The following is a 23,847-nucleotide window of genomic DNA, read 5'->3' as shown; positions in this document are numbered from 1 at the left end:
CTATAGAAGTGAACCCAGTCTCATGGGTATCTAAGAAATCATCAACCTGCAGCCTTCCTATTTACCGAAAGCAACTACACTATCAATCACTTCTTCCGTATCAAATAGCATAACCATTTTTCTGAGTAAATAATGAGGCTCTGGTCAGACATATCACATAACAGTATTCGGATTATCTTCTGCACAAGACTGCCCCATCTACAGGGCTGCATTCACATTGAAGACCTCCTTTAACTCAAAATATGAGGTCAGAGGGAGAGATTCCAAGCCTGTTGGCTGAATCCCAGGTTAGAGCCCTCCTTTGTAGAAGTGGAAGGCCACAGGGATGTGGCGGGGTGGTGATTCAAGACTGCTGGCTGCCCGACCTTGCTCCTAGATTCCACTGAAATCCCTTTTCCAGCATCCCTGCTGCCTTAGTCTGGCTACAAATCTAACATGGGCATCTCATGCTATGGTCTAAATATTTGTGTTCCTTCGAAAATCCGAATGTTCAAATCTATTCCCCAATGTGATGATATTAGGAGTGGGGTCTTTGGAAGGTGACAGTGTTAGGAGTGGGGTCTTTGGAAGGTGACCATATTAGGAGTGGGGTCTTTGGGAGGTGATTAGGTGATTTGCAATGAGATTAGTGCCCTTAAAAGAGGTGCAAGAATGCTACTTTTCTCTTCATTCTTGTGAGGACACAGCAAGAAGGCACCATTTATAAATCAGAAAGTCCCTCTCACTGGACACTGAATCTGCTTGTGCCTGGACCTTGGACTTCCCAGGCTTCACGATGGTGAGAAATAAAGTCCTGTCATTAGTAGGCTACCCACCTTGTGGCATTTTACTATGACAACCAGAACAGAATAAGATGCCCCACATGGAGGGCAGGATTATAGAGATGGCAAGGCATTTGCATGCTGCTGGGTGTGTCTGCGCCTCATCATTCAGAGGCTGTGGGAGGAGGCTGAAGTGCCTGTGCCCCACAGCCAGACCCCTTGCCTATCAGCATCTGGAAAGTTACCCCCGAGCAGAAGCAGCATTTTAAAGAGATACTGTATACATTATTTAAAATATAATCCTAAATTTATATTTTAGGATTCTATCTGGTATTTTTCAGGCAGCTATCATTTAGATGAGGTTATGCACTGGCAGAATTATTTATTTTTTCGTACCTTTGATATCAATTAAGAGTGGAGAATTCCTCTTTTTAGAGAATATGCATCAACATCTTGAATCACCCATTCGATCCTCACATTAACTGAATAAAGTAGATACAATTATAATACTCATTTTACAGAAAATAATTGAAGCTGAAATTGTGTGACATGCCCAAAATCAAAGGGTTAGTATTCGATGGAGTTAGGAGTTGAACCCAGATATTGGAGCCCAGATATGCAGAACACCTGTGTTTAGCCACAAAGCTAAGCTGCCTCTCGCCATGCATTACGCTGACCTCATCCCATACCAGCAGGCCCATTGCACAATGCATTTATAGGTTATTTGCCAATTGCAATTAACTATGCATTAAGATGCTTAAAAACATCAAATCTATGTTAGAATGGCTAACCCGATTGATAAACATTAGATGAGATGAGAGATGATATTCTTTCTTCTTCAATGCAGAATAAATCAAATGTAATGCATCACTTGTTGAAAACCACAAAATTTTAATTAGTGCTACGAGACTCAAACCCAAAACTTCTTAACCTTGCAAGAATTAATGTATAGATGTATTCCCCTCCCCCTCATAAACCCATAGTTGGCTTTCAAGATAGAATGACATACTTAAATAATTCTCCTGCCAAAGTCTTGAAAAGAATATTGTAATACACATACATATTATTCCCTAGTTTTATTTCAGTAGACATGTGGGAATCCACCACATATTTGCTTGAAGAAAGAAACTTTTGATATGCAACCCTTTCCCCTCAACATATTAAATTCTTGATTTAATGCCTAAGGTAGTAAACCATAAAGGAATATAAAAAGCAGAGAGAAAGTAAGTTCATTGCTATGTAGAGTTAAACACATATATATGTAGTGCTATTTTTACAAGGCATAAAAAATGTTCGTAAAGTGCATTCTGTCTCCCACACTTCTCAAAGTCCCAGAAAAGTGCTACTCAGCAATATTTTTATATTTCTCAAATATAGACTCTTATGGAATTTAAGTATCAAACAGAAGAAATTACATCACCTAATCCTTCCTCTCAGATTTTTATTTCTTTACCTACTAAAAGCGAAGATACTTCCAACTTTAAAACCTGAATTATTTTCAAACCCAGCTGTTAAATATTATATGTATACTCTTGTAAAATCAACTTATATTGGCTTTGTGTTGGCAACGCTAGTTGACAAAAATAATATAACACATTTTGGGATTTACAGTGCAAAACACAAACTGGATTGTTGTAGTGAACACAGGTATAATAAATATTAATTTGTATCCTCTCGTCTTCTAAGGCTTTATCTATTTAACAATGTTATCTACCTATTTATATCATTTTGCAAATCACAGACACACACACACACACACACACACACACACAAATGAATGTGATAGCAGTTCGTTTTAATTACTTTGGGCTCAGTGGTGAAAACAAAACCATGCTGTGTTTTAAGGAGACACAGTTTTACGTGTTTATGTGTTTTAAGGAGATAAGATACACTAGGAGTTTACAAATCATTGAAAGGTTTGCCGTATCAGGCCCTGGTTAGGACTCCCAGGAACCATGAGCAACTTCTTAGCCACCATCTGTTCACCACCAAACAGTGTGTTCAGTGTGTTCAGTAACATTCTACGAGTCTGTTGATATAGCGGTCTGGAACCTGGAATGAGGAAATGTTCCAAATCCAAGTGGAAGATGTAACTTACTTTTAGAACCCTAACTGTATGGATGTCTGGGAAATGTAAACATCAATTATTCAGCCCATGGAAATAGAAGCTGAGTGTCCAACACATCTAGCAAAACATTAAAGCGTATTTTGAACTGAATTATGAATCAGATAATATTTTATTGTTTTAATAGAAACTACACAAAATCTCGTTGTAGCTTCCACCAATAAACAGCAAAATTCCCAAAACTGATGTCTCAATATTAACTAGCACTAACCCCGTAGTTTCTTTATGGCCCTATTGAATTGGTTACTCTAAATACGTATTTGTCAAATAGGACTTAACTGATATTTCAGTCACTTCTAGTGCCCCAAAGTGCAGATTTAAAAACTAGCAGGGAGCAACGGAGGGTAGTCGATATGCAAAGTGAGACATTTTTGAAAAGTGATCAATAACTTCAGTGGCTGCAAAACCTGGCAACACAGAGATGTTAGGTAAAACACCTGCTTTAGTACCTGTAAAAAAAAAAAAATCATGATCAACACTTTGGTAGTGGGAATTAATCTCTATAAATCATAATTAGAGCATTGACAATAGTTTTTGATTTGCTGAGTAGTAAAGGAAAAAATATCCAAAACAATTTAAAATGATAATTCCTCTCAATAAACCTACATTCAATCTATCAGAAAGTAATTATTCAAAGTTGAAACAATGCTAAAGTAGAAAACGTAGCATATTCTAGATGTCTTGTTAGAAAAGCAAAATACAAACAACTCATGTGTTAAAAGGGTTTAATGTCTAATGGCGTTTGAAAAGCTACACCTTTTTGAAGGAAATAATATAAGATAATGTTCCATAATAATGATAATCTAACTTATTAGGTTGTGCAAAAGTAATGGCAAAAACCACAATTACTTTTCCACCAACCTAATAATTTTCTCTTTTTAGAATGTTAAGTATGACATTTTAAACTCTATTATTTCTAGTAATATTTAACAAGTATTATATTTTAAACTCTATTATTTCTAGTAATATTTAACAAAATTACAGCATTCATATGGACTAGGATGGAATTATTTTTAATGACCACCTACAAAGTCGTATGAAGACAAGAGGCAAAATGACCCAGTTTTGTGTTTTCTTTTCATCTTTCTCAGAGATTTTCATAAATATTATGAAAATATCCATCTAAGCTTTTATAGTGAACTGTTGGGTTATTTCCTGGTCTATTATACAGCAAAACTCAACAGACACTCAACTCACCAAGTTGTATAAAGATGGGAGACAAAATGACCCAGTATTATGTTTTCTTATAAATCATCTTTCTCAGAGATTTTCAAAAATATTATGAAAATACTCATCTATGCTCTTATTTTTTGGATTTGTAGATTTTTTGTTTATTCCCTGGTCTATAATACAACAAAATTCAACAGATCTTGGGATAGAATGTCTCATGATATATTCTAAATTTGCATTAACAAACAAGTCAATAGTTTAAAATGCTGAGAGAGATTTTTCCAGTACATTTATTCAGTTAACATATATGGGCAAATGATCCAAAACTTCTCAATGTTCACGATGATCTACTCAAAAAATACACTTGACATCTTAAATGAAAAAATATTTTTTCCCAAATTCCGCAATCTTGGATATATACAACACATCTGATGAGTAGTGAGAATTGGAAAGTAGCAGCATTGTTTAATACTAGAGCTTGGTTAGAAGTCTGCATCTTGAACTGCCATTTAATTTTATTTCAGTGATCAAATTAGCAGTCATTTTTTTTAAATAAAGCAACTCATTTCTACTAAAGTTAAATAAAATAAACAACAAACATGTATAGCATTGTAAACAAAAACCACAATAATCGTATTTGGTGCAACAAAAATTTCACTGTCCGGGAACTACAGTGTCTGCCACGGTGGTTGAATGGGTGTATTAACACCATCTTGTCAACTAATCTAATAGCAGGGAAAAGCTGTCAAAAAGCTCATTTCCTTATCTCTGTGAAAAATAGAGAAATTGATTGAATGGATTAAGCTCCATTACTTAAGCATACTAATAAAATAACCACCATTTATCAAGTACCTATCATTTATATTGTTCTATAAATAAATATGTTTGTTAGCCTTTACAACAACTTTGTAAGGTTGGTTTTTGAGAAGAACCCATGGTGGAGCCAAGCTAAGCAGTTGAATCCAGGACTCACGTGAATGCATCTCATGGACAGGACTTCCCTCCTGTGTGGCTCAGATGCTTGTCCACCAGATGCCTCTGGCTAGTTTTTACTCTAATGGTGTCACTCAAAAAACATGGCCTTTCCATTTACCGTTTCAGTATGCTGCCATTTTTTTCCTTTAAAATGACAAGAGTCAAAGTTGTATCAGGACTTCCAGAAAATTTCAAGTCAGAAGTAGTGTTCCCCTTAGGCAACATGGTGAAATTAAGTTAAATTAAATTAAAATTAAAATCAGAAAGGCCATTAAAATAATTACTCAGAAAAGTAAGACAGAAACCTACAAAACCCTAAAACCAGAAAGTCTCTAAGGGTTTCAAATTGCACCGAAAAAAAATTGCTTTTAAATCTAGGAGTGAGAGTTGAGATTTTTCAGCATTGATTTGACAATTTAACCCAGGTATTCATCAATCATAATAATTAATGGAGTTAAGACATGACTAGAAGCAGAATAGTACAACATAGAAGGAAAGTGGGGGCTGTTGGGTTCCAACTTGGCTACTCTCTTACTAGCTGTGTGACCTTGAGTGCTTTTCTAAACTCACTGGCCTTTAGTTTACCCATAACTAAAACAGGGAAACTAAACACACACACAAATATACTCCTAATAAAGACGTTTTTAAGTTTCCAAGAGCTAGCAAGTCAAGTGCTTGTACAGAATCTCTCATGTAATGACAGCTACTACTACTATTATTATAGGAGACTAAAAAAGACTTAGGAAACAAAATTAGGGATAAAACTTTGAGAGCCATAATAAATAACAAATTTACAACACAACAGTAAATATAAGTAACATCAATACTAATATTCATATGCACACCTAAAATTAGTAACATTAGACCTATTAACATAAATTCTCTTTCTCTCTCATTGAAAATATTTTAAGATCTCTAGCCCTACAGCTTTTCATGAAATACCTGAAATTTTGTTTTGCTTGGCTATGGATCATACACTAATACGAGGATGCATTTCTCTCCTTGTTTCTTTTATTTTAACATTATTCAATGCCTTTCTCCATAAAAGATTCAAAATTATCTCCTTGTCCTCTCATTTTCTTAATACCACGTCCTGCTTTCTGAATCCTGTCATGATCCCAGTGATTCAGAGAAACTTACATGCTTAACAAAGAAAACAAATGTTAATGTCAAGTGACTCTCATTTATGTTTTGATATATATTCATATCTTTCAGCAATCCTTTACAGTAACATTGCAAGATTGGGATATCATGATTACTTGTCAGATGAAGAACTTTGCCAGTGAACAACTGTCTGGTATTTCCAATCCTTTCCTTGGGGATGAAACATTTAGAGAGGTGGGGTGTAGTCGTCTTTGGAGACAGACTGACTATAGTCAGAAAGAGTAATCTTAACTGTACCACTTGCTAGCTTAGGCAAGTTTCTGAATCTCTCTGCATCTCTTTTATCTATAAAATTCAAGCAGAATCTTGGCCCTGTCCATGGAATGTAGTAACTTCTGTGAAGACGCAGGAATTAAGTATCTTCTTCCTTACTTTGCAGCTAATGAAATTAGAGTTCTAGTCTAAATTACAAGTGTACTGTCCAAAACTTCATTGATAATACCTCAATTTTTTTTAACTTCACCATCTGCTTTATCTTCTTTCTACTGTTAACAGATTTAGCAAATACAGGATATCCAATGAAATTTGAACTTCAGATAAACAATGATATTTTTCAGTGTAAGTTATGTTCTAAATATTACATGGGATATAATTTTTTAAAAGTATTGTTTATATAAAATTTAAATTTAACTAGGCAACCTATATTTTATTTGGCAAATTTTTTCTCCTTTTTCTAATTATGCCAACAAATATTGATATGAAATTCTGTATGTATTTATTCAATTTTTAAAATACTGTATTCCACTTAAAAAAATGGAATGAGAAAAATAGAGAAAATTTTATTGCCATATAAACTTTACAGAAGAAAACTAAATTGGGTAGGAATGACTCTAAATCTTATACACTGAAATGTCATTTATTTACTTAAGTCTACAAAGAATGGCATTGCTCCTTTCTTCCCCCAACTAAAAGGAAATAGTTTAAAATATTAATGGAAACAGAATTTTTTTAAGCGACCTTTCAAATAATTGATTGTAGAAACTGATTTTATTTTCACAGAATACATAAGCCGGGTTTGCCAAATTATTTTATTGGATGTCTGACTTTTTTTTTTTTAGCATGGGAGAATGATAGGATTTGATAGCATGACGTGTACGCCAACCATTCAGCAACAGGGAGGCAGTCCAGCCAAAGAAATAACATTTCTCACAATACTTCAGTACTTGAACTATTTTTCTAAAAAATTAGCTCCACTTTGAAAGCTTATCCATATTCAACAACAACAAACAGAAATTAGATCCATAGATTTTAAGGCATTCAATTAAATTATTTGAAGAATCTTGTTAGCACTCAATGCTATAAACAAAAAATACCTTTATCACCTGATAACTACGTTGGAAGGTAGAAGTGGGAATTAAAAGTCTTGGAAGATATTATTCTCCTAAGAAAAAGGGGAATATCACATAAATGCTAAATTTCTTGGGGGTGTCCTCATAGCAGCACTCAATCAAATGCTTTACTCAAGTTGTTTTGACAACATCCACACTATCAGAAAACACATTTCTAGGCCCAAATGAATGGTTAGCTTTGGAGTACTGTCTTGAAATCCAAAAGCACATCACATGGGAACCATGGAATTGGAAAGAGGTATACTGAGCCCTCTCTGAGCTGAAACTCCACATTTACATATAGTTTATAAATACCACCTTCTAAGAGCAACTTCACAGATTTTACATAACATTTGGTATCAGTTAGCTTCAGGAATATGCCAACATTTCAGAAGGATAATAAACATTCAAAATCTTTAGAGAAAGCAAAATTTGGTGAAATGATTTGGAAAGATCTTTTTAAACATCGGAGAGAAGAGACACAGTACTTCTTTTAATACCACTGAGAATGGGGGGAGTGAGGGCGGACATTAGATTTCAAATGATATGAAAACAGTCTAGAGGAAAAGCAAGCACACACATGCATCCAGAAATAGAAACAAACAAAACCACCACGAAAATGATTGGGAATTAAGATCAGGTGATGCCAAATACCAAGATTAAGGACTAGGGGCCTGAAGACATAATTAAACATTAGGTTAACAGTGTTGGACAGAAACATAGGAGGGCAGATGGCTTGGAACCCCAATCAGAAGTATTTGAGATTCCATTTAGAAGAGATGTCATGGTCCAGGCTGACAGGTAGACACAGAAAGACATCCAGAGAGAATGGAGACCAAAGACTAAGTTGTCTACCCTCCTTGATGGATGCTCTTCTACCATCTGGCTGCGGTTTATAGATTCTCCCCCATGACATTCCCATGAAACAACACAACGTAAAACATAACCTAAAAGACAATGTAAGCTGTACGTATTTCTCTATAGTTGGGTCAGAATTTATGCTTTCTGAATGCCTTCTCCCTTGATTTCTTACCTAATTATCACAGCCACCATGCAAGGCAGGACTTACTGTTTGAGCTGAATTCTAATAGGGATAAAAGGAAGTTGAGAAGCGTTCCTTGATCATCCTCATGTCCAAAGACTTGCAAATAGAGCAAGAGTCAGAATCTAGCTCTTTTGATGCTAGTTTACCCCCCAAAAACGTTATGTATTTTACATATGCTTACAAAAACAAAACAAAACATAAAACAAAAACAAAAAATAAAACTACATTGATGCTGTAAGTAATAGATCTAAAGATAAAAGATTGGAGAAATTAGAGGCCTAGACCCTGGAAGGGGAAGACTTAGTCCAGTGCTCTCCTATGGTTAGGGAAACTAGAGTTGCCACATTCAGCAAATAAAAATACAGGCTGCCCAGTGCAATTTGAATTTTAGATAAGCATCACATTTTTAAATTTCTTGTTTAGTGTATATCCTAGTGTTTTGGTATAAGTATGTTCCGGTTTTATTATAAATATATCCTGATAGTTTGATACATTTTATACTATAAAACTATTCTGTGTTTCTATAAAATTCAAATGGAAATGGGCATTCTGTGTTTTACTTGGCAATCTTTCTAAAAATGCAGAAGTTAGCTCCAGCTGGAGGGGGGTTGTGTATTCCTACAGGGATTCTGAACTCAAAAAGCAACATGCTCAGCAATTGATTTTAAATTATCTCTGTTGCAATAAAGTTTTATTTAATTTTATGGCCTGGCCTTGCATTCATTGTGAGACATCAAAGGCTTGCATCCGTAGCTTGGATAAAATAGTTATAGAAGAAGGAGCAGAGATAGTCTAAGAATGCTGGTCTCCAGACCAAAAGTAATGAACGGGAGTAGAGAGGGAGAGCTGTTTGGAGGCAAACAGCTGGGCAAGAGAGCAGAGGGTTGTGTGGCAAATGGAAGTCCTTCCTGGGATTTCCACAGACACCTGGGGAGAAGGACCTATTGAAAGATTGGATCTCCAGAGCAAAGCAGAAAATGAGACTGAATTTTTGTCTTTGAAGGTTAAAGGAATACAGGACCTTATGAACAGATGAAGCTTCCTTCAGACATTAATGTAGAAAACTCTCCTTGTCTAATACACGACAGTGACAGTGCTAATCTGGATCCTGATAATTAGAGTAACATCAGGATGGGTAGAGCCAATGCAAGCAATTAATTATCAGCACTGACATTTATTGTCTGTATTCCCATGGGTTCTTAAGCTTCTTTACACATAAAATTTTCCATAATAAAAAGTAAGACTAAAAAGAAAATCTTTATACATTTCACATCTGTGGAATAATGCACATTTGTCATCGTCATCCCACTTGGATTTGAGATCCAGTTTTTTCACCTGTAAGATGGGAAGAATCTATCTTACAGGAATATCAGGGGATTTAACTAGCTAATATTTCTAAGGCACTAGCATGAAGCTTGTTCTATGTTTTATCTCCCTCCTCCTTCTGTTTCTACCACTCATTTACTCTTAAAATTGATCAAGTCATCTTATTTTTATGACTCTTAGTTTTAGCATAAGTATCAGAAGTAAAGTTTCCTTTCTTTGTGATTAAGGCAGGGGAAACCTTTAAAAGGTATGTATTCTACTGTAAAATCAATTCCATAAGTAACATTCCATCAGAAATTAGAATTTTCCCCAGAACTAAAGAATGATTACAAACAAAACAAAATATTATCACAATGTGAGGACTAACCATTTTCACTGAAATGGATATTACAAAGAATGAAACATTTGTATTTAAAAAAGCAAAGAAAAAGATACAAGAGAAATAATATTTATTTTGTCCACACATTCCTCTACTATAAACAAAAGAAAAAATTCTTTAATTACCTAATTTTCCCTCTGGTTGGAGACTTAAAGAAAGACATTTCAGTAAAAAGAATGTGTAAGGCCAAAAATTGTTGAATTACTCACATCATAGCTATGAGCCTTATAAACTCAAAGCAAAACATGGGAAAGCAAGTTGCTTCATTTAATATATTAAAATCAAAACAGCAACAAAAGTTAAGCCAGATATCAATAAATACATCAAAATGTAGCTAAGTGGTTTTAAACTCTGATAACTTACAGAGTCTAAAATTTAAAAAAAATCAAGTAATTTTAACATTTTATTGCATATAGTTTGTGTAAAAGTGATTAATGAAACTGAAAAAATAAATTAACAAGTAATAACTTATACATCTGAAATGGCTACAGCATATCAAAATGTATATAACTCAAACTTTAATTTTTCCTAATTTAATTTACAAAGGTAAGGTCAATTCTTTTTTTTATATTAATTTAGTATTCCATAAACATACATGTCCTTTGTTAACTAACGTGATTCCAATATTTTGTAGCTTAGCGAATTTATTCTTTAAAGCTGTTTAAAACGGAAAATTACTATATAATTTCTAAAGCCATGCAATAGTGTAATTAAACTACTACATACTCCTTTTCGTGTGAATTTCAATGTAAGTGTTTTTCAAAGTCAATTTCAGAAGTCCTTAAAATAAATAAGGCTTGAGCTCTTTTTTCCCTATGCAGTACTATTAAACCTGACCCCAAAATTTCCAAATGAAACACTGAGCACTTTATCCATTGTGAAGATTTGAATCATTTCAACTGCATGCATTTGATTACTTGTTTATGTTATTTTAGTTCACTTTATAATATACTACTTTTCATTATTAAAAGAACATCTACATTTACAGAAATAAAACTGTTAAGAATAATATTTTTATTAGAGCAAATTCTACTATAAACTGTAAGTTTAGTGTCAGATTTTACCTACTATTAGATTTTTGGAATTTAGTAGTAATTATTCCAAGCTAAAAATTGTTGATAAACAGTAATGCCTTTGAAGAAGGTATGTAGAAATGTTGAGTCATCCTATCATAAATCTTCCAGCAGTATATCCTAGGAATACATTAAGGTTCAAATTTTATTTTACTGTGTCAATCTTGCATAATTTTTGTGCTTAACAAAAGTCAAATGAACTTCCATTCTCTTTCTTTGACTTTTCCTAACATATAAAAATAAATATTGTATCATCTTCAACTAAGTATACAGTAATATATTTGTATTTATTTTCTTAATTCTCTACCTTGTTACATCTGTGCTTATTTAAAAACAATGCATGGAATCACCTATATATTTTCATACCTATTTATACCCCCATGGTTTTGACCAGGATGGGGTAGCTTACAGCATGTAAAACTACCACAATTCTTTATAAATTATACACATATTCATATGTAAATGCTCTAGAGAATTGCTGAGGCAACTAGGACTTAAGGGGCCAACATCCATGAAAAACAAAAATATAAGCAAGTAAGCCAATTTGATTTGAGTACATCTGTAATCTGTTTCTTTCTTAAGGGCTTTTGTGGTAGTTGCTCCACTCTCCTCCGGAATGAGAATTATAAAGAAATCAAGCAAGAGATAAGCTTAAGAAACCAGAACTTTAGAGTTTAGAACCACCAAGATAGTCAGAAATTGATGTGCCTAGACGATATAGAAAAAAAAAAAAATAGAGAGAAATGGATTGAAGGCCTGTCATTCTGAGGCATTTGCCAAATTGTTAAGTTCTACAAAATAAGAAATTAAGCAGCCAAGTCAAATGCCACAAAAGCATAGAATGAATATTTAGTAATCTTAAAGTACTAAGAAGCTAAAATTGGTGTTCAGATCTGATCATAAAAATAGAGTTTTAATAAACATTTCAGGATCTCAGTTGTGGTTCTTGGAGATCTAACTCTTTAGATCAAATTGAAAGAGTAATTGAATGAGCTTCACCAAACTGCAAAAAAATGTCTGGACTCAGCTCAGTCCTTAATTGGATTAGGGAGACTTGCTCCCCCTTAAGCTGCCTGCTTGAATTCAGGGTCAACCTTTTGTGGAAGAAGATAACATCATCCAAAGACTATATGATTTTTATACACCATATTGTGCATTATATTAAAATTATAAGTCAATATGATAAATGGAAACATGATCAAAAATAGTACAGACAATGGAAATAGAAGAGCCAGTTATTGGAATAATAAAATGTGGACTTTACTTAATGACTGTGAAAATAACAGGGCTGATAACTATAGAAATAATACAAGCTAGAAAATTAAAAAAAGAATGGAAAGAATAGATGAAAGGATGGATAATTTTGACCAAAATTTGGATTTAATAAAAAAGATTCAAATGGGCATTCTAAAACTAAAAATATAATATCTAAGATTGATACAATGATGGCTTTAACATAAGACTATATACATTAGTTTTGAACTAAATGACATGTTAGGACAAAAATTCCTAAACAGAAACATATGCCAAAAAAAGAGGAATAAATGAAACAGCACAGATCATTAAAAAAAAGTGAGAATATGCATGAAACTTTCAACATACATTTAATTGGAGTGTCATGGTTAGAAGAGACAGAAAATGTGGCAGAAGGAATATTCAAATAAATAATGGCTGATAGTTTCCTAAGTTCCAGATGCCAGAAATTCAGAAAACCTAAAGCAAGAAAAAGAAAAAAAAAGTGTCTATTCTACAATGCTGTTTTCTCATAAAATTTTAAACATAAAACAAATGGATAAAAGTAAACAAAGGGCTGGGTGCGGTGGTTCATGCCTGTAATCCCAGCATTTTAGGAGGCCGAGGTAGGTGGATCACCTGAGGTCAGGAGTTCGAGACCAGTCTGGACAACATGGTGAAACCCCGTCTCTACTAAAACTACAAAAATTAGCCAGGCATGGTGGCAGGGGCCTGTAATCCCAGGTACTCAGGAGGCTGAAGCAGGAGACGCACTTGAGCCCCGAAGGCAGAGACTGCAGTGAGCCAAGATTAAGCCACTGCAAAAAAAAAAAAAAAAAAAAAAAAGAAAAAAGAAAAAGAAAAAGAGAAAACTAAGGAGGCAGAGAGTGGAATGGGGCAAGAAGATATATAGAAAATAGAAGGCATAGAAAAAATATCCATTATCTTCAAAGAGCAACTATAAAGGAGACAGAAGATTGAGAAACGGTGTTTTTTTTTTTTCCCTTTTTTTTTTTTTTTGAGGAGTTTTGCTGTTTTCGCCCAGACTGGAGTGCAATGGTGTAATCTTGGCTTACTGCAACCTTCGCCTCCTGAGTTCAAGCAATTCTCCTGCCTCAGCCTCCCAAGTAGCTGGGATTACAGGTGTGCACCACCACGCCCGGCTAATATTTTTGTATTTTTAGTAGAGACAGATTTTCACCATATTGGTCAGGTTGCTCTCGAACCCCTGACCTCAAGTGATTCACCCGCCTTGGCCCTCTGGAGTGCTGGGATTACAGGTGTGAGCCACAGCACCCGGCCGGACAAGGATAAATCTAATGAGTCTTAAACCTATAGGTGGATCTGAATTTAAAGCCCACTCTGATGTTATCATTGTAAGTTAAAGCACAGTTTTCTAAACTGACTGTGGCATTGGGTAAAGGACACAAGTGTAGCGACCTTGACCTTTGCTTTTGGACCATGTCAAAGAAAATGGTAATAGAACTACTACATCTGAATCACTCGATGAATTACTCAAATCCATAATAATGGGTGCTGCTTCCTTTTCTCCTCACCTCTTTCCTCAACTCTGAATGTCATTTAAAGTTCTATCTGATTTTTTAGAAACCTCACAAGAAACACAGTGGAATGATTTTAAACTGAAAGCACACCTTGCTAACTTGTAAAACATCCAGTGGTTTCTTCCAGAAAGCCTCATTATTTTTACTTTCTGAAAATTCATTATTACTAATTCTCATGGAAACTAAAAATAGGCTAACATACACTTTTAAAAAGTAGTAAGGAATTCTAAATTGACATGGATTAATTATTTAGTCTAGATTAGAAATGAAAAAAAAAATAATAAATGGGTTTAACAGAAACCCTAAGTACAGTTACATAAATTCTGAAGGCACACTCAGTGATTTTAATGAGAAGGAAGGATTTTAGCCAAGTTGTTCTTTAAACATAATGGACAGTTTACCGCTTCACTACCCTTTTTCCAGCTGTTAGCTGCATGTTATTTAAGAAAGACTTTTTTTTTTAATCTAAAACACTTAGTTCCAAACCATTCAAAGTACACGCTGCTGCTTAAGAGAGAATGATGTTTTGAGGGACTCACTTTTTAAAAAACCTTAACTCAATATGCCATCCAAAAAAGGAAAACTTTCACAGGATTATATGTTAAATTTAGCCTAGTCTACCACGTTGTATTTTCTTCTAAATTTTAAACATAAAACAAATGGAAAATAATTCAGAAGGGTGCTGGTTATATCACATTGGCCACAGGAAATTCAGTGCTTTTATGATAGAAAAATGTATTAATTCCTTTCAGTCATGCTGACAGTATGGTGAGCTCTGAAAGAGATTTCTTTCAAGCCAATATTACCAAAATTCAGCAAAATATTACATTTTGAAGACTACTGCTAAGAAGTCCCTTGTAAGATTGTCTAGATCCTTTGTGTTTTTTAAATGAATAAATTTTGCATCTCTAACACTTCCAAATACAAATAGAGGAATTTAATTAATTAAACATGGACAGTGCTTTACTAAAGCCAAGAGATCATTATCAAGGGATGGACAAAGAAAGTCAGGAAATCAGCATGATGCATTATCATAAGACTTGGAGACTCAACTTGCCTGCCAAGTGAAGCAAGAGAAGTCACCATCACTATCTCTGGGGAAAGCCTATCAGAAGTCAAGTCTTGAATAGGAGCTATGGGTAATACCAATGGGATTGGGATCTGCTCCTGCCTCCTAGAGCTAATAATTTAGGAAGGAGTAAAAGGCAAATGGCACATGTATAAATAACCATGATATAAGTGAAACTGATACCTAGAAACTGTTAAACATAATACTAGTCAGCTTTATTTATTTTAATGAATCAGAAAGATCAGGAAAACCAAAAAGGGTTTCTTGGATTAAGTGAGGTTTAAGCTGAGATTTAAACAGGGCTTGTGAAATTCTAGTGTGGGCTAGTGTAGGTATGAATCTCCTGAGGATTTTGTCAATATGCAGTTTCTGATTCACTAGGGTCTGGATGGGACCTGAGATTCTGCATTTCTAATAAGCTCTCAGGTGAGGTCATTGCTGTTGGTTCTGAAACCACACTTTGAGAATCAAAACCTTAAAGAACAAATAAAGTCATATTTATTACCCTTCTTGGGTAACACAAATCCAGTTCAGGTGTAGAGAGTAGCTTGAGGAGACACACAGAGGCAACAAAATGCAATGTTTATCTAAGAATAGCAAATAACTAGTGTGGCCGTTGTGCTAAGGGGGCGGCTTGTAGAGCTTTTGGATTCTACTCCTAATTGTCTCTCAAATCCACCTCCACCAGCTCCATGCTGTTTCTTCAACTAATTCCTTTATCATTTTCTACATGAGTAACTGTAATAGTTTCTTAACCAGCATTCCTTCTTCTGGCCTCTTTCTCCTAGAATTCATTCTTCATAATGTTGATACAACTATTTTTCTAAAAGGTGAATCTTTGGCTCTCTAACTCGTCAGATGGAGTTCAAATGCTGAGATACGGCATAACTGTCCACTTGAGCTCTCTGGGACTTCACTGTTTCAATCTGCAGCTACCCCATCCCTTGACCGTATCTTATCAGCACCAAATGTCTTAGAGTTCCCTTAATAGATCATATGATTGCATACAACTGTATATTTGCACATGTTCTTTTCCAGCCTGAAATATACTTCCTCACAATGTGTAACTGAGAAAATCCTATTCACTTTTCGAGATTCGGCTATAAAAGCTGGGCACGGTGTCTCACTCCTGTAGCCCCATGTATTTCAGAGACTTAGGTGGGTGGATTGCTTGAGCCCCGGAGTTCGAGGTTGTAGTGAGATATGATTGTGACATTGCACTCCAGCCTGAGGGACAGAACAATACCTTGTCTCTGAAAAAAATAAAAAATTTCAAAATTATTCAGCTATGTTAGCCAATATTTTGGCCATTGTAGGCATTATGACTCACTTTCTCCTCTGTTCTTCTCTTGATTTGACTCATGCATTTACTTGTTGAAAAAAAATATTTTCTGAATGCATGTTATGTGCCAGGCAGTGAAAAAGATAGCTGAGGCCCCAGCTTTCATGGTGCTGAGAGCACAGTAGGGAATGATATATTAAACAAATACTTACATGTGGGTTATTGTTAGAAAAGAACAAATAAGTACCTCTTCTCTTGAAAAAAAATAGATGACCAGGAAACACTGACCATGTATTTCTATGGGGAACAATCAGCCAAAGTTAAGTAGTGTCTGCCCCTTTAGAGAGGATACCATAAAATCTCAAGTTCAACAGTCCTCAACTCACTCATGTGTTGGCCTGGATCTTGGCACACTTGAGTTCATGACTTCTTTTTAAAACCAGAGAATGACAAACTTCACGTTTGTAAGGTCATTGGTCAAAGATAGAGAAAATAAGTTGAAAGGTGACAATAATTGATGTAAGATAGACAGTTATGAAAATATAGTTGTATTCATCCTGTCAATAAATGGAGTTGGCCTAGATGGCAATGGTGGGTGTGAGTAGAGATAAGAGACAAATAAGTGAATTAAAAACATATTTATGATGTAGGTTAACGGCATTTATTATTTGTATGGGGGGATTATATTAATAGAGAAGTAAATGATGACTCTCAGAATTCTGGCCTGAACAACTGGTATCTTCTGGTCATAAAATAAGAAACAAAATATCAAATACTAACAGTTATAAAGAGATCATGAGTGTAACTTTGTACTTAGTAAGTTTGAGGTATCTGTGAGATATATGTGTAAGGAATGACAAGTAGCCATCTAGGTCTAGAACTAAGAAAACAAGTCAAGCTAATGGATGTACCTTTGGGACTTGTTAGCATATACATAACTATATTAATGAGACCACATAGAAATAGGGTTTAAAACAAGCAGTGAAAAAAGTTTAAGAGGATACTCGATGTTGAATAATTGTGTAACAGGAAGACAACTGGCCTAAGAGACTCAAAAAAACTGAAAGCCTCTTCTGAGAGAGACAGAAGCACAACCATTTTGTTTGTTTGTTTGTTTACATGCCAAGAAAACAAAGAGAAAACAATATGTCACGAAAAGGGGAGAGGTAAACTTAAGAAATTCAATAAGCTTGATCTAAAAAGTTTCCAAAGCAGTGCTGACATGGAGCTAACAGGTCTTGTTAGAGGAGTTTTAGAGGATACATTGGCATAAGCCAGGAAAAGGCGGATAAGGAGTTGATGAATGGGAAAGTAATAGAGGCAATGAGCATAGGTAAATGTTTTCCAAATGTACAATTGAAAACAGAGAGATAGAGGGAGATTGAAGGATGAACAGAGGATAATCAAGGGATGATACGTTGAGGTGGAGGATATGGATGTTTAAAAGCTGATGGAAAACCACCAAATGGGAGAGAGAGAAAGAAAGGGTATAGATTCATGTTGACCCTCTGCAAATAAGAGTGGGTGGGAGAGAGGAGAGAAGATTAGTCTGGAACAGAACAAAGGCCACATTGCCCCTATCTGACAGTCAGAAAGAATGGATGGCTGCAAATGTGAATATTTTTATAGAGTGAGAAGTTCAGGCAACTTTACGCTGATTTCTTCAGTTTTCCCTGTGAAGTATGAGGGAGGTGATCTCCCAAAGAAGGAGGGTAGAGAGAGGCAGGAATGCTTCTCAAAGTGTAGCTCATCGACCCTTCTCTCTTGATAGCATCAGTTGGGGAACAAGTATGAGCATTCTGCCTCAATTAATGAAATACCAGCATTTTTGCATTTTAGTAAGCATAACTTCAACATATTGACGTTTGACAATCCCAAAGACAGGAGAAGGAAATAAATGAGTCATTTTATTCAGAGCTTGCTTGATTTTCCTTAGAAAATACTCCAAAGATACTGCTTTGAAGTTTAGGCCTTAGGTCACTCATCTCTTTCTGTTTCCTTATAAGTAGGGACCTTTGTTTCATTTCTGGCTTGTGACAGTTGTTTTGCCAAAAGTAGTTAGTCCCTACTTGTTCTCAGCTAGTCCCAGAGAGAGGGGTGTCCCAGAGAGAGCGGGCAATGGACTACATCATTCCCTCCACCCAGGAAGGCTTCCTTCCTTAGCTTTCCCATGATTAACTACTGAAAGAAAGCCCAAATGTCCTTTCCTCTCTTTTCTTTTTAAAAATTATGTTATGGTTTGTCATTATCATTTATAAAAGAGATGGCCCAAAGAAGTATCAATCAAAACTGTGTTTCAGTTGCTAACCGTCAAGCAGAGAGGGTTTTGCTCTGCACCAGCACCAGCTATAAAACATCTTGTTTTCCTTCAACTCTTTTGTTTTCTTTAGAATTCACTTTTTTATAGTTACTGCTCTGAAAAATGTCACAAAAAATTCAATGTATTGTGACTGACATATACCAACATATAAATTACACTCACTGACTCATGAATTATTATCCTGCCACCTCCATAAGGCTGTTTTCAGGGCATGAATAGTAGTGGGGTCAGAAGCCCTCCCAATGTCCTAAATCCTTATTGTTAAATGATTAACAGGTCAATAGGCTATAGGTTGTATGCACAACTAAAAGCTATCTATGACCACCTTTTAGAGGTTACTAAATTCTTGTAGTCATAACAAAATTTAATACATTACAAAGAGTTCCTAAGTATTTTCATAATCTTCTAAGACTTCTGACTGCCATACAGGCTTTGTGTAGAAAGAATAGTTGGAATTACTCTATTTTAAAAACATCATATGCTATCAGTGCATTCCGTGTTAACTTAAATTGATTGTGGTTACTTATTGATTGCAGCAATTTTTGCTTTTACATTATAAGTAATAGCTTATTTTCAATAATACCAATTTTTCTTGCTGTGAATTATTTGGTCAACCCTACAACCTATAGTGTATAAAACTATACATGTTCATCCATGTAGTTTTGACATAAAATTTCAAAGATGTAGATTTAAAAAATAAGTATGTGTTGTAGATTAAAGTAGAATCAGACTGTCCCCATTGTTAATGGTGAGATATAGCTAACACTCCTCAATTGCTATATGATAGCACTTCTTCAGTGGTGACTTGTCTATGAATGTGAATTACTTAGACATCTTGTAGTATATTGTAAAGGAATGGAGGAAAATTACTAGTTATTTTAAAGTTTATAAGGCACTATTTTAAAATTAAAATTCAGTTATTTAAACTTCTTTTTGCTTATAAAGAAAATAATAAATTACTCATGTATCTTATTAGGAAATGGTTTATTATAACTCTTTTGAAATGACATTCCTCTATTTATTAGTTGTAGTTTGTTCTTTTTCCAAAAAAAAAAAAAAAAAGCAAAGGTAGGATTGCCATGGGATTTTTTTTTTTAAACACACTCAGGATTGAAATGAATGTACTGGGCCACAATATGTATAAGTCAAACTCTGTAGCCATAATCAAGGCTTGTTGGCTTGTTCTTTATTTCATTTGTATTCTCCACAGGGCTTGCAATAATGATAAATAAACTCTAGGTCTTCGAGAACTATTGTCAGTTATTAGTATATGAATGAACTATACATCCAACACATATCTGTTAAATATACTTCTATGCTAGTCACGGAAGTTAGTCATTTACACTATTGTTTTCCTCTGGTGAAGGGTTTAGGAAACTAAACCAAGACTGCAACGCAGGCAGCATTCAGCTTTTGGTTGTCCCTCCTTTGAATGACATCTATTATGGTAAAGCTGCCCACACATTATCCTACACAAAGGACAAGGTACTGTCTCAAGGCAGCAATAGGGGGTGAGATTGTGGGAGATCCTATTGAGCTCTCATTAGTCAGGCAGAAATGACCTGAAGCTTGTTCACTTATAGAGGGACATTTTAATACACATCCACTCATTACCCCACCGTGCTGCTAAAATCCCATATCAGTTTTCTACTTTCTCATTCCTTCTCCACTCCCACCCCAAACCTCATGGGCAGAAAGAGATACAGAGCTGTGAGAGGACAGTCTGGGAAATCTCACCAAAGGGTAATAACTGCCTGAGAAGTGTATAAGTGAGAAAGATAGATTTTATATATGCATATTTGCATTTGAATTTCTACTATCCCCTGACCTTGGGACACGGGACTCCAAGTCTTCAGATGTAAAGATAAAGAATTTTTCAACCATCCACCCTGGACCAGTGATGTATGTAAGAGGCACTGGCTCATGGGAAGTGAATCTATTTGCATTGAACTTCCCAAATTCTGAAAGTACCTCATGGAAGCCACTTGTCTGGCCCTAGATTTGTGCCATACACATCTGCCCCTCATTTTGCATGGTTCAATGGAGGCAGTGCTTATGGATTTTAATAATTTTTAAATCATTTTTGAAGAAATTCATTTGCATGCTAATTGACAAACATAAACTTACATGCTTGCACAAACATAATACACGTTTGTATTTGTATAAAGTAAGTAGTAACTGCTTTTCATGAAATAATTTTATTTTTTCTCGAATTGTTTTCCTTGTATTTGGTGGATACAAAATTATAATGATAACACATTAAACTATAATTTTAATAACTTAGGTTTCATAAAAGCGGAACTATGCCCTGCTTTAGATAGCAAAAAGTCAATAGAATGTTCTAATTATGGAAGAATAAATGGATTCAAATACTTTTGACAGGTGGGAGTTACTCTTAGATGTGACTGAATTAGCCACAGCTGCTTTCCATAGAAAAAAGCCCATATGCTTAGTAAAAAGAAAGATTAGTTTTTATCATGTAGTCATGCTGAGTAATAATATTTAAGGAGCCACGTTAATGCAAGCTAACTCCATTTGTATCTGGTGCACTAAAAATTCAACACAGATAAAATGCACCATATGTGAAAGGAATTAAGTGTCTGACCTCCCAGAAATATACAATTGAGTGACATTTCATGGAATATTGACACTTTCTATAAATCCTGATATTTCTCTTAATTGCTTCATACTCTATTGATAGTTGCATCTGGGGACCCGGTCATTAACTAATCATTGCCTTCAATACAGCTCAGTTTCAATTAAAGAACAGAGATTTGTCTTTTGGTTTTGGCACTGAAAAGTTCAATACAAACTCATAGCATTCACCATGACAAACAGATATATTTGTTTCTAGAATGTGGCTTCATTTTTCCCTTATTGTCTGCCAAATATTCATCATTATTTTAACTACTAGTGCTGTTTAATCCTTAGGTGTTTAGTGGCATTATTATATATGGACTTGTCATTTTGTTAAGAAAACATTAGCTATTACATAAGAAAGAATACAACACAAATATTCAGTGAAAACAACATTTGCGTAGCCTTACATAATATAACTATGGAATTGAAATATAACACATCAATTAAACATTATTTGATTTGAATTACCATAAAGAAAAATAGAATGTTCTTTCAAAGGTGAAATGATACTAAATGAGAGCTTTTCTTTGATCCTCTGAAGATCCAGTTGTACTAAGGACCTGGAAAGACCAAAGCATACAAAAATTCCTCCAACCAGTGAAGCCAAGTATACTTTCTATGTAAAATACTGGTTTGTTATAATCAGTTGAATAATAGTGAAGGGTGGGTGTGAAATGCACATATCCTATTTTGTGGAAGAAAAATATGTTTTCTTTTTTAATAGAGGAAGCTTTTGGGAATGTAATGATCATTTATATACCTTCTATATCTACCATGCATAACTCTTTCTAGCACCTCTAGGAGCCCACAAGAGGGAGTAAGATTCAGTGGCTTGAAGTAACAATAAGCTCAAGAAGCCCCTTTCCAAAGCTTTCTCAGAGACCTGGAATCCTGGAGTCAATGCATCTCATTGCTAAGACATAAATCTAGCAATAACAAGAAATAGATAGCTTGGATTCATTAGGAAGCATTATCTGCTGAGGAGAAAGTAAATATGACTTTATCTTTAGTGGATCTCATTAGTTCTGAACTTTCTCATAGAAATATGCTTATTATGTTCGCAATGCAGACAATGTTATCTAAATCCTAATGATAATCTTCAAGTTTATATTTTAAGTTGGATACTATTTATTTATTCAGGGAGTAAAATGAAAATTTTACCATTATAACTAGTAAAATATGAATCAAGACCAAAATATTTTGAATTCTGCTTTTTAAATCATGTAGCTCCATTAAAATATAAAGAAACAAAATGTAGAAAAATTCAGAGAAGGAAATATAGAGAAATGAATTTGCAAACCCATTCTAATGTGTTTAATGCTACTTTGAAAATTATTTTCCAGGGACCTTTTAAATCTTTTAGCCAAAAAATCATTTAGAAATGTTTGAAAAATAAAATATCTTCTATGATTTCTATGCCTAAAAAGAATTTTGCACTAATCCCCAACTTCAACAGCTCATTAAAACTCTTTTAGCCAACAGATTGTTTTACCAATAAAACGTATATTTACACACACACATGCACATTTGTATTCCATATAAATTGCAAATAACCACTTCAATTCTGTTATAAAGAGAATTTCCAGGAAGAAAAGAGAATCTAACTCTTGGCTTCTAACTCTTGTTCCAAAGGGAGAAAAATCAGAGCCAATGGCATAGATAGGAAATCTGCTAGCATGTTCAGCTCCAAGAGTGTATCAGTGTTCCCTACCACACCCAAGGAAATGCTATTTCGTTCATACTTGACATAAAAAAGCCCATTCATACTTTGGGATTTAATGGAACCGGTGGAGATCTTATTTATAGACCCAAGAGAAGCTCCCTAATGCATGAAACAGATGTACCACTCTAATATCTACATTCACATCTGAAATGGTTGTGCAATGAGGTCTTCTCTCTCCTTTAAGGAAAAAGAAGTGGAGAATCAGAGAGAAAATTCAAGACACACTGATGATATATTTTTTGTTATGAATAATGAAACACAGCATGAATATATCAAATAATTTCATTACAAAATCCCTAGGCTTATTCTTCATACTACACATTTTAATGAGTGAAGCCAAAGCTACAAAATGTTTTAACAATCTTATGCCTGACTGCACCTCTTCCCAGAAAAAGTGTTAAAATATTCTCAGTTAACTTTTACTGACTTTTGTTTAAAAATCCAGTAGCAAAAAGGAAAATAAAAGAGCAAACCTGCTTCATGTAAAACAGAAAGAGAAAGAACTACAAGGCTAAAATTCAGTGAAGAGCTGAAAATTTGGGAGGCAATATTAGTATCTTAAATGTTTGACCTGTTTAGAAAACACATTTGACTATAAGAAAATCTCTCCAGTTACAGACCACCATGATATGTATAAGTGTCACGAGTATTTCATTTTAAGGTAGGTGTGGG

At 34.6% G+C, this 23,847-nt stretch overlaps 2 long non-coding RNA genes across 2 annotated transcripts in view; one reads left to right on the top strand and one right to left on the bottom strand.

Annotated features, from left to right (window-relative positions):
* Nucleotides 1–23,847, top strand: part of LOC102724355 (uncharacterized) — a 177,651-nt gene that overhangs the window by 115,532 nt on the left and 38,272 nt on the right. The gene's annotated exons all lie outside the window — the stretch shown is intronic.
* The window catches only part of LOC105372759 (uncharacterized), a 28,328-nt gene continuing 7,460 nt past the window's right edge, over nucleotides 2,980–23,847 (bottom strand). Inside the window, exon 3 of the long non-coding RNA XR_001755130.2 lies at nucleotides 2,980–5,175. This is a non-coding gene — a long non-coding RNA (uncharacterized LOC105372759). The remainder of the gene's footprint in view (nucleotides 5,176–23,847) is intronic.

This window comes from Homo sapiens, chromosome 21 (genome assembly GCF_000001405.40).
Source record: "Homo sapiens chromosome 21, GRCh38.p14 Primary Assembly".
Taxonomy (NCBI): Eukaryota; Metazoa; Chordata; class Mammalia; order Primates; family Hominidae; genus Homo; species Homo sapiens.
This window is presented reverse-complemented; position numbering and strand designations above follow the sequence as displayed.